This window comes from Homo sapiens, chromosome 18, assembly GCF_000001405.40.
Source record: "Homo sapiens chromosome 18, GRCh38.p14 Primary Assembly".
Taxonomy (NCBI): domain Eukaryota; kingdom Metazoa; phylum Chordata; class Mammalia; order Primates; family Hominidae; genus Homo; species Homo sapiens.
In genome coordinates this window covers 21,262,874-21,274,926 of record NC_000018.10, presented here as the reverse complement: position 1 = coordinate 21,274,926, position 12,053 = coordinate 21,262,874, and the positions used below count along the sequence as shown (strand labels likewise).

At 38.9% G+C, this 12,053-nt stretch overlaps 1 protein-coding gene across 24 annotated transcripts in view, besides 1 other annotated feature; it reads right to left on the bottom strand.

Moving 5' to 3' along the window:
- Nucleotides 1-12,053, bottom strand: part of GREB1L (GREB1 like retinoic acid receptor coactivator) — a 283,881-nt gene that overhangs the window by 251,186 nt on the left and 20,642 nt on the right. The gene's annotated exons all lie outside the window — the stretch shown is intronic.
- Nucleotides 11,474-12,001: an enhancer, noted in NCBI's record as "OCT4-NANOG hESC enhancer chr18:18842887-18843414 (GRCh37/hg19 assembly coordinates)". NCBI's record gives its function as "activates a minimal SCP1, AML or CMV promoter by ChIP-STARR-seq in naive and primed H9 embryonic stem cells {active_cell/tissue: H9 hESC(naive and primed)}" and the evidence as "EXISTENCE:reporter gene assay evidence [ECO:0000049][PMID:30033119]".

Sequence of the window (12,053 nt, the reverse complement as noted above, 5' to 3'; positions counted from 1 at the left end):
TATTTTAAAATTTTTTAAATTAATTATTATTATTTTTTTAGAGATGGGGTCTTGCTGTGTTGCCCAGGCTGGAGTGCAGTAGCGCACTCATAGTTCACTGCAGCCTTGAATTCCTGGGCTTAAGCGATCCTCCCACATCAGCCTCCCAAGCAGCTGGGACTATGGGTGCACTCCACCAGGCCTGCCTAGTTTTCTTGTAGAGACAGGGTTTCACCATGTCACCCAGGCTGGTCTCAAACTCTTAAGCTCAAGTGATCTGCCCACCTCAGCCTCTCAAAGTGCCAGGATTACAGGCATGTGTCATTGTGCCTAGCCGGTATTTTTAATTGAAAAATAAAAACTAAATAAATTTGCCGGGCATGGTGGCACATGTCTGTGGTCACAGCTACTCAGGAGGCTGAGGTGGGAGAATCACCTGAGCCTGGGAAGTGGAGACTGCAGTGAGCCGTTATCATGCCACGGGACTCCAGCCTGGGCAACAGAGTGAGACCCAGTCTCAAAAAATAAAAATAAAAATTGTGTTGTTTGTGTGTGTGTATATATATATATACTTGGTATTTGCTATGATCTGAATGTTTGTGTCACTCCAAAATTCATATGTTGAAATCCTAACCCCCAAGGTGATGGTTTTAGGAGTTAAGTTTTTGGGAGGTAATCAGGTCATAAGGTTATATCCCTCATGAATGAAATTAGTGACCTTATAAAAAAGACCCCAGAGAGCTCCATTGCCCCCTCTACCATGTGAGGATACAGCTAGAAGGCATCATCTGTGAATCAAGAAATGGACCCTTAGCAGATACCAAATCTGTTGGTGCCTTGATCTTGGACTTCCAAGCGTCTAGAATTGTAAGAAATAAATATTTGTTGTTGATAAGCCAACCAGTTTGTGGTATTTTTGTTATAGCAACCAAAATGCACTAAGACAGTATTTACATATCTTATTCTAAAATATTTTATGATGGCTAAAATGTTTATTATACATTGTCATCTAAAACAGTAAGTTTTTCTTTCATTTTTTTTTAATCACATGCACAAATGCATTAAAGTAAAGATCCAGTGGCCTTACCATGGTCTGGAGGCCCATGCTTACATCTCCACCTGTCCTGTCCCTCCAGCCGATGGCCCTAGCCTTCTTTCTCAGTTCCTCCCGTGTGTCAAGCACTTCCTCTTAGCACCTTCAAACATTCTGAAGTGCTCTCTCCCCTACTCTCCATTGTGCTTTGTCTCAATCTTCCTCTTCATCTCAACACAGAAAACCTCTTCAAAAACTTTCTTAAATCTCCAAGACAAATTATGAACTCCCAGTTAGTCTAACCTTTTCTAGCCCTCATCCCAACGAATAAAATCATTTAATTATATAATTACAGATTAGTGTGTGTATTAGTTATCTTCTGTTTGCGTAGGAACTCACTGAATGTTGGTTGAATTAATGAATAGACAATTAAAATAGTTAAGTATGACAAATATTATTAATAAAATAAAAATCTCATTTATTCTTCACAGATGTGAAATATAAGGCCACTCAAACTGAACAGCATACTTAATATATTTATGAAAAAAATTTAAGATCTTCACCTCATAATCACTTGAATAGAACTAGATGTGACAAAATATTACTACATATGTTAATTATTTGTGAGCAGCTAGTTCAAATTATCATTATCATTTATGCTACAAACTTTTGTTTTTTGTTTTTTTTGAGATGGAGTCTCATTCTGTCACCCAGGCTGGAGTGCAGCGGCACAATCTCAGCTCACTGCAACCTCCGCCTCCCGGGTTCAAGCGATTCTCCCTGCCTCAGCCTCCCCAGTAGCTGGGATTACAGGCACCCGCAACCACATCGAGTTAATTTTTGTATTTTTAGTAAAGATGGGGTTTCGCCATGTTGGCCATGCTGGTCTCAAACTCCTGACCTCAGGTGATCCACCCGCCTCAGCCTCCCAAAGTACTGGGATTACAGGCATGAGCCACTGTGCCCAGCCTGCCAGAGAAAAACATTTTTATAAAAATTATATAAATAAAAATTTTCATGAATTTAAAACTAGCTTTTTCTCTTTTTAGTCTGAAGTTTTACTCTTGTCAATACATGCATTTATCTATTTGGACATTAATTCAATTACATCTTTTTTTATTATCTTCTTGGCATTAGGCCCTGGTGATTAAAAGATGAACTGTACATAGTCTTCACCCTCTGAGTTTTGAGCCAAGTGAGATGTATGCCAACCAGTTATTACAGCTAAGGGGTAGCCCAGCACAGAAGTAAATGCAGTGAGCTGCTTATTGTCTGGAGAGGTCAAGGAAGGTGTTTTGGAAATAACGTGCTTGAGGCTGCCTCATATTTTAACCGTTGATAAAGAGGAAAAGTAGGTGAAATATCTTTAAGAAATATCAAAAAATTATAAGTCCATTTATAACTTCTTATGAAAGCCATTTTTTACATTTGTAAAAAAATACCTTTATCCATTTTGTCAGCTGTCTTCAGTGACAACTAGATTTCACTCAACTGCAGTGTGGCAGAGGCTGGCTAGATGCACAGCAAACCCACTTCCTCTCCCTGGAGACAAGGTCGAACATTTCCTAGCTCTGACAATGGAACGTGGCTGATGTGAAGGACAAGACAGTTAAGAGTTGTTTGCCTTCCCTATATGCTCTCTTCCTTCCACAGCAATCTTGAAGTCTAGAATTGGAAGATAGTAGTGGAACAAGATGAAAGGACCTGGATCCCTGAGTGACGGCAAGGAGAAGTGTCTCACCGTGTCAGACTACAGCATGAGCAAGTAATTAAGCCAGTGGAATTTTAAGGATGTGTGCTACAGCAGTTAGCTTATCCTAATGAATCATTCCATTGTGAGGGTAGTGTGTAGTCAATCATAATTTTAAAGAACATAATGAATGACAGATATTCTTAGTCCTGTTTTTAGTATCTACCCCCACTTCTTTGCTAACAGGACTCCAGTTTTGTTTGGGGTGCCAATTTGCACAGCTTTAAGGGAAGATTTTGGTTGGTCTAAACTCATCATGAGAATTCTGTTCCCCACGCTTTTAGCCTCCCCTGTAGTGAGGGATGGTCATGCAGCCCAGTTCTAGCTAAGAAACCTAATGGAAAGTCCACCGCAGGGATTTCTGGGAAAGGTTTTCCTTCCCTGATAAAAGAAACCTGCATGGCTGGCATCATCCCTTTTTCCCCTCTACTTAACTTAAACAGCAACCTGCATGAGTGGGGGCTACATTCTGGACTAACATAATAAATGCATTCTTTTTTTTTTTTTTTTTTTTTGAGACAGGGTCTTGCTGTCACACAGGCTAGAATGCAGTGGCAAGACTATAGCTCACTGCAGCCTCAAACTCCTGGGCCCAAGGTATCCTCCCACCTCAGCCTCCCAAGTACCTGGGACTACAGGTGCATGCTACCAAGCCTGGCTATTTTTTTTTTTTAGCTTTTTATAGAGACAGAGTCTCACTGTATTGCCTAGGGTGGTATCAAATTCCTGGCCTCAAGTGGTCCTCCTGCCTTGGCCTCTCAACGCGCTGGGATTACAGGTGAGAGCCACCATGTCCAGTCAATAAATTAATTCTGAACTAACATGACAATACACTAATGCCATAAATTTGTGGGGTGATATGGGACATGCATGAAAGAAGAGTGCATGCCCCATCTAAAGACATCCAAAGATATTTTTATTTAAATATTAAAATGACAAAACAAAGGCCTCAATGGGCCCAAAACCACTCAGTTCATGAAATTTGAAATATAAAGGTCTGTTATATACTGTTAAATAACAGTCACACTTCATTGTTTGTCATCATCTATTGAATACAGAACATGTGTCTCTCATACTTTCTTAATGTGTTTCCTTTAAATCAATATGATGTACTGGCTAATAGTTCAGGCTTTGAAATCAGGCTGCCTGGATTCAAATCCCAGCTCTGGCACTTACTGTGTGAACTCAAGTGTAGTGTACTAGACTTCTACCTGTTTTTTTATTACTAAGATGGAGATAATCATAGCATATATGTCTAAGGATGGTGATAAGGATGAAATGACACAATCAATACAATGTACTCGGTTGAGTACACAATGCTCAATAAATACAAGCAGTTATTTTTATTACTTCCAAATGTCACCAGAGAGCTTCAAGTAGTGAAATAACCCATTGAGAAAGTCCTTGCTGACTATGCGTGTAAGTGTACTTTATGTTCAGGGACTACTGATGAGTAAACTAAAGAATAATTAAGGTTGCCTGGCAGCCTGTGGACTCCTTGGATTTTAGGCAGGGTTAAAACAACATCACAGCTTAGTTGTTTTAAGTAAAAGATTAGTCAGTGACTAAGAGTCAAGGGCGGGATGAGAGAGGACACTCGAAGAGTGGGTGTGTGCCCTCTCCTATCCCTATGAACTCTTACACCCTGGGCTTATAGTATCTGGGGCCTGGCTCTAGACATGATGAGAAAGAGATAAAAGCCAAGGAATAGCCACAGATGATAATCCTAACAGCGCAGGCAGCCAGGCTTCCCTCCTACCACTCCATCCACCTTCCCCATGATTCTCCAAAATGATTATTTGCCCTAACAAGGATTAAGGCCCATGTTTTTCTGCCTCTACATCTCTGCTCATGCAACTCCCTTCCCTAAAAAACCCATCAGCCCATCTCTGCCTGTGAAACACTATTTGTTTCTCAGAGTTAAGCATAAATGTCCCCTTTTTCACTTTGTTGAACAAGTGACACTTCTCAGATACATCACAAGATAGCATGTTACACTGTTAAGAGCACTAGCTCATAGACAGGTTTTCATCAATCTCCAAAGTACCAAACGATATGTTCAATATATTTTCCTAAATGCATGTACATACACAGAATTATCTCAGGAAGGGTATACTAGAAATGGAGTTATCTCTGGTTAGGGGATTTGGGTGACTGGGAAACAGGTGTAGAATGCAACCTAATTTTCATTATTAGACTCTTTAATATATTTAACAGTAAAGTAAAATATGTTTTAAGTTCTTTCTTGTTGTATGTTTTATCTTCCTCTGTGAAATTTTTATCCTAATCCTACCTATTTCTGATCTCTAGAGATGCCCGGTATAAATCAAGTATGCTGACTAATTAATTGATAAACATGTTAATGAACTGTTGCTAAGAATCATATAAATATGTATATACAACTGAGTTTTTACTAAAGCCCTGAAAGTATTAATAACATATTCTTTTAAGTGAGTTAAAAATTTGTTCCAGTATGCTTAAACAATCCTTTTTTTTCTTACTATTACACCATTTCCAAATCAGTTGTCTTCATTAGTTTATTTCCTCTTCTGACTCTCATGTCTTGTTTTAATTAATTTTTTCCATAGGCCTTGTATTTTCATTCCTACTGGCAGAAAGCACTTGTTGCCTAAGGCATTAAGTTGTTATCTTGTATACTACATGAGCAGCTCTACAATGTTCTTGACACCTGTAGTGCCCTCTTATTGCATGAAGCCGTAAGACATGTTCAGTAGCTTTAAGGATACATAAAGAATTCCCAGAATTGGGCATAATCCCCAAATTATAAAACATCTTTGAGAAGAAAGGCCATTCCTAAATATTGTAAAAAAAATTATGGAATGAATAAAGATATCCTCCTTTACCATTATGAATAGGTGATTATACTGGGAATCAAACAGCCTATGCTCTAATCCTGGCTCTTTAAGTATCTCTGGGGCCCCAATTTCTTCTCCATCAGTAAAACAGACATGAGTATTAGACTAATTTTGAGATCGCTTTGCACTCTAGTTTTCTGTTTATGACATCTTCATCCCAGAAAGTACCCAGGCATTACAGTACACGTATTAATAATTAGCATTTATAACTACTCACCTAATGAAAAGTAACCCTTTTCCTGGGGTATGGCAAGGCTTCTTTAGTGCTGGAATCATTTACTGGCTCCAGACATTCTTCTTGTCACTTACCAACAATGAACAACTTGTACGGAGATCTTCACAAGCCTATTTGTGTTTTCAGATATGACCAATCTCCTCATTTGAACTCTAAGAGACTGACACCAGGGCCGGGCACAGTGGCTCACACCTGTAATCCCAGCACTTTGGCAGATCACTTGAGCCCAGGAGTTCAAGACCAGCCCGGGCAACACGGCAAAACCCCATCTCTACAAAAAAATACAAAAATTAGCCAGGCGTGGTGGGTGCACCTGTAGTCCTAGCTACTCAGGAGGCTGCAGTGGGAGAATCACTTGAGCCTAGGAGGCAGAAGTTTCAGTGAGCCAATATTGTGCCACTGCACTCCAGCCTGGGCAAGAGAATGAAACCCTGCCTGAAAAAACATATATATATACATGTATATATATATATATATATATATATATATATATGTGTGTGTGTGTGTGTGTGTGTGTGTGTGTGTGTGTGTATATATATATACATATATATATGTATATATATACACACACACACATATATATAGACATCATGAAACTTGTTCCTAAACTCGCCTGACTTTGTAGAGGAACAGGGGACTTCAAGCAAGAAGAACTATGATTCCCACCTACGGTGTGTACTGTAATTGGTAATTCCTCTGAAAGTACCATTAATAAAATTCAGCTTGATTCCATAAGTACTTCTTTAGTGTCTACTTGGCACACGGCAATGTGCCAGAAGCTGGCACAAACACTTCTCCCTTTCCCACACAAGACAAAGGCAGGAAATATGAAAGGCCTTCTATGGATGAAAGTGCTGCTTTTGATTCCGCTGTGCTCATCAAGCACCTGCCTACCCCTATTAAGTCTACCACCATTACTAGATTCCAATAGTGCATCTGGAAGAACTTTCCTGTAATTCATATCCTTTAGTCCTAGTTCTCAATATCATGAGAACCAACTGAAATCAGGGGGCAAAAGACCCTGAAGTCAAGGCTGCCAATGTGATCCTCTTACAACATATTCCCCTATTTGCACTTGGAATATCTGGAAATCTCCTCACTTCACCATTCTACTGTGCCTCAGTTTCTTATTTGTATGGAGAATCCTGATTTCCATGTTAAATTTTTTAGCTATTAGGCTCTCTGGGAGCAATGATCACTTTTTCAGACAATGCAGTATTCTGGCATCCTGGGCAAAAAAAAAAAAAAAGCTTGGGGTGGGACTGGCTTATCTCAACTCTCTGTCACTTCTACTATTTCTTAAGGGCAGAAAGCAAAAGTAGAAAAAAAAATTCCTGCAAATACCTTCCCTTATCATCATTTATGATTGGATGGGGTCATAAGGCAATCAAGCAACTGCTTCTTGCACTCATTTCTCTATCAACAGGTATTTACTGAGCCCCTACATCTGTGCTAGGATCTGAGGAATCCAAAAGCAAAAACAATGAAGACATTGTTCCTACTCTCTGTAACTTCATGATGTAATGGGGAGGTGGGGTTTCTCAAAAAGCCCAATTAAGAACAGCTAAATGTGGCTGGGCACAGTGGCTCATGCCTGTAATCCCAGCACTTTGGGAGACCGAGGCAGGTAGATCACCTGAGGTCAGGAGTTCGAGACCACCCTGGCCAATATGGTGAAACCCAGTGTCTACTAAAAATACAAAAATTAGCTGGCTGTGGTGGCATGCACCTGTAATCCCAGCTACTCAGGAGGCTGAGGCAGGAGAATCGCTTGAACCCGGGAGGCAGAGGTTGCAGTGAGCCAAGATCATGCCACTGCAGTCCAGCCTGGGTGCTCCGTCTCAAAAAAAAAAAAAAAAAAAAAGCGGCCGAGGCAGGCAGATCACGAGGCCAGGAGTTTGAGACCAGCCTGGCCAACATAGTGAAACCCTGTCTCTACTAAACATACAAAGATGAGCCCAGTGTGGTGACACACGCATGTAGTCCCAGCTAGTCAGCAGACTGAGGTAGGAGAATCGCTTAAACCCAGGAAGTAGAGGTTGCAGTGAGCCAAGACCATGCCATTGCACTCCAGCCTGGGAAACAAAGTGAGACTCTGTCTCCAAACAAACGAAAAAACAAACAAAAAAACAGCTAAATGTCAGATTATCTGATACTGACAATAAGAGAAGAAATAAATCACACAATCTTAGAACTGTAGGAAATCCAGGAGGCCATCTAACTCAACCTTTCCTCAAAAGCAGAAATCTTCCAACATCCTTGCCAGGGTCATTAATGTTCTGCTTTAATGTGGAACTCACATCTCACAAAGAAGTTCATTTAATTTTTCAAAGTCTCTTATTGCTAGAACATTTTATTGTAATTTGAACCAAAACTCTCTCACTTATTATTCTATACAGCAGTGTTTTTCAAAACTTTAATTTTTAAAGCATGCAATGTGTTTTTAAAAGAAATAGTAGGCACGAACACAATATATAAAGCAGTTAAAAGTGGAACTCTTCTGTTGGCAGCTGCAGGGGGCCCTCAGCATGTCCACTTGTCTCTGGCTCTTCTCTACCTCCCTGCAGCCCAAGGCTCACCACAAAATCCCTGAAGCTCTGCACAGCACAATTTGAAACCACTGCCTTAAAGGTAATTAGAGTAAATCTAATTCCAGCTGCATATGTCAGCCCTTGAAGACAGATATCTTGTCTCTCTTTAAATCTTTTCTAGATTAAACTTGCCCATTTCAAATGATCTATTCCATCTATGTTATTTTCCCTTTGTATCTCCCCCATCCTAATCATTCTCCTCCTAAAAATGTTGAAACCCTATTTGAACACAATTCTTTTGATACCGTAACCAGCTGAGGATACAGCCTCTCTTGACTATCTTCCGGACACCAGCAGCTGAAGAGGGCTTAGTGAATGGAGAAGGACCTGAGCCAGACCTTGAGACATATAGGATTTAATAGGTAGAGATGAGAAAAGATAAAATTGCAGGCTGGGAAACTAGCATGAACAGAGATACAGAAATTAAAACAAGGGCCTCCTGATACATTTTTAATACTTTTCTTCCAGATCCTTATGGGTTTTTTTCCATTCAGCCAGCTGCCTAGTCTCTTAATTATTTCTTGGAAGAAAATTAAGCCAGATCTTATCTCCATGAACATAGGCTTTTACTGTATTGCTGTGTTGGGGCCAAATTAGTGACATGATCTGATCAATACTAAAATTAGGTCATTTCAATATTACAGTCATTGCTACAGGGAAAAGAGTATTTAATGAAGATGTTTGATAAGCCCATAAAAAAAAAGAAAAACTGTGTCATCTTCCAATTGAGTCAACATCATGGCGAGAGGATTCATAAAGGTTATAACACTATTGAGAAGCATCCCTGAAGAGTCTCAGTTCTAAAGCCAACCCAAAGAACACCTTGTCTCCACAAAATAATCTTTTGCTTATCACTCATCAAACCACAGGTTTGATATGTGCCCCAAATAGACTGTAAAAACAACAGCATTTCAATATAGGTGAGTGCTAATCTATCAAGACAAATCATCCTGTAAAAACAAATATAAAAAAAAATGGTTTCAATAAATATGCCCATCACCGTCCATTTTTTCATGCTACTTGATTTTACCATTTACAGATAGGAATTCAAGCTCATCAGTTTTTTATGTAATTTGGTTTTTCATTCAGGAAGGAAGATCTTAAAGACAGTATAGTTCACTATATACCTTTTTCCTATAAGATACATTCTTTACTGATTATATGAATATGTACTATTTCACCTTACAAGAATGGGAATTTCGTACACACAGCATCACAAAGTTGGGAAAGTGAACTTGTCCTAAATTTTAATGTGTTATGAATCTAACAATTTTAAGGCATTAAAAAAAACTGATCTTACTAGTATTCAGGGTATTTGATTCAGACATTTTATTTCCATTATTTTCTCTTTTTCCTTCATCTCAAAAGGAGATAATCTGAATTGCTCTAATCTGAAAAACAACAATAAGTGTAGCAAATACTTGACAATGAGATGGAAAGCCTCTAAAAATCTGTTACCTTAGTAACAGCAAGAATGTGGAAGAATAAGAATACACTGTCAGGACATCATTTCAGTTTCTACAGATTTGAGGCCTAAATACAGTCAGCTTTCATTAGCTTTTTGTTTTTCCCAGCAGGTCCTTGGACTTTGAAACAAAACCTGAATGACAGCTATGAGCAATTCCAGCCTGGCTCCTGATTAGCTATGCCAAACAAAACAACTCTCTGCAGTGTAAACTTTCCAGGCATCTGCAACCAAGCCTCTGTAGAGACTATAATTCCTCAGTGAGATTTGAAGGAGAGTCAGAGGTTGGGGGGCGTGGGGCGGGGGTGAAGGGTGACCAGGAGGGGGGGAGGGGGAGAAAGGATAAGACCTTCCCCTCTACCTCGAACTAGTCCCCTGAACTAGTTTCGGATTAAAGCAGGGGGAAACTAAAGTAGAACTTGTCTTGGTCTTGTTGTTGTTGTAGCTTTTAACTCTGGCTTATTTTACAGTTTAATTAACCAATCCTCTAAATCCGAGTATTCTATTCCAATGAACATCCATGACACCCTTAATATCAGTGTATCCAAACTACTCATGCATTTAAAGCAAATAAGCAATTCTGAGACCTTATTAGCATCGAATAGAGTAAGGAGTAGATTAAAGTGATCCAAAAGAGAAGAGGAACAACAATTATAAGTGGATAGTGCCCTATATGGATGCAAACTAAGATTTTGTGTCATTTGTTGTCATCGTTTTTTTTTTTTCTGGATGCAGATCTAAAATTAATTACACTAAATAACAGCAAACTGTGCTGTGTGGTCCCATCTGCTACATAATTAGATCCCTAAGGAACTAACAATTAAGCTTTTTTCTTGTGATCAGGCCCTTTGATTCTACCTAAACAACATACCTTTATCTACACAAATGAATTATAGGTTAGATCTCAAAGCAGTTTATTTTGATCAGATGCTTGATTTTGAAGTTATCAGTGGTTTCAGAGAAAATTCTGCACTGGGGAGTCACAAGGCAATTCAACTGTAAAGAGATGAGAATTAAACTAAAAGGTAGACAAAATCTGCCAACAATCTTCCTATAACTTCAGAAGTGAAAATGATTGTTTTTGTATTTCTTGGTCATACAACAAAATGGTAGCAGTGAAGGTTGTTCTTGTCTTATGAAAAATGACACTTAACTACTCTCTGATCTCTATTGCTTCTGAGATAACCTACAAAAACTGATGACTGACTGACTTAGAATGCTAGGTGACAGAGATCCCTACTTCTCTAGTCAATAACCATTTATTAAACAGTGTCACAGTGAGTAGGTAGCATTTAAAGTAAGGAGTAGCTCTACCACCCTAAAATGTAATTTGCAGATATATGACAACAGATATCACAGAAAATTTACCATTTACATAACCATATCATAAAAGTCTAACTTAGATTTAGGACAACATTAAACTTAAGTCATTGAAAATTCAAATGGAAAATTCAAGTTGAGACTTAAGAAAAGATTCTATATAAAGATTTATCAAAAATCACAACCAGGGAGATATGAATTCTGGAAACTAAAGACAAGGAGATTTCAATGTTTAAGACAGGTAATACACAACTAGAAAACTACATGTCCAATTATTTTATTCAATTTTTCTGTAATCTCAGCACAGAAACTACAGAAAACAACCTTAAGGCTATTTTTGTAATGGACGAAGACAAGGATAGTGACCTACCAACAAGTGAAAACCCTTCAATATGAGTCTGTGCTTGCAATCCCAAACCAAACGTGCTGATTCAGCACAAAGTCATCAATGGAGTTCTTATCTTTTCAAGGAACAATCCATTGTCTGGCTGAAACAAAGGGCAGTGCACAGGAAATCAGCCAAATCTGGGCCAGATGGCCACTGATTCAAGTTTCATTCTCCCCATCCCCCACCTTCCCTGGCACTGCAAAAAAAGATGCAGGCAGCACTTTCAGTCACCAGGTAATAATCTGCATGTGGGGTATAAACCTTTTACAATTACATATACTCCCCACCTCAACACCATGTAATTTGTTAAAGCAGAATGTCCTTATAAAATGTTTAATGAGGAAGATCTATAAAGCAATTCTTGAAAATACCCCTGTAAGCCCATCGTTTCTTAGGCATGGCATGAAGTTTTAGCA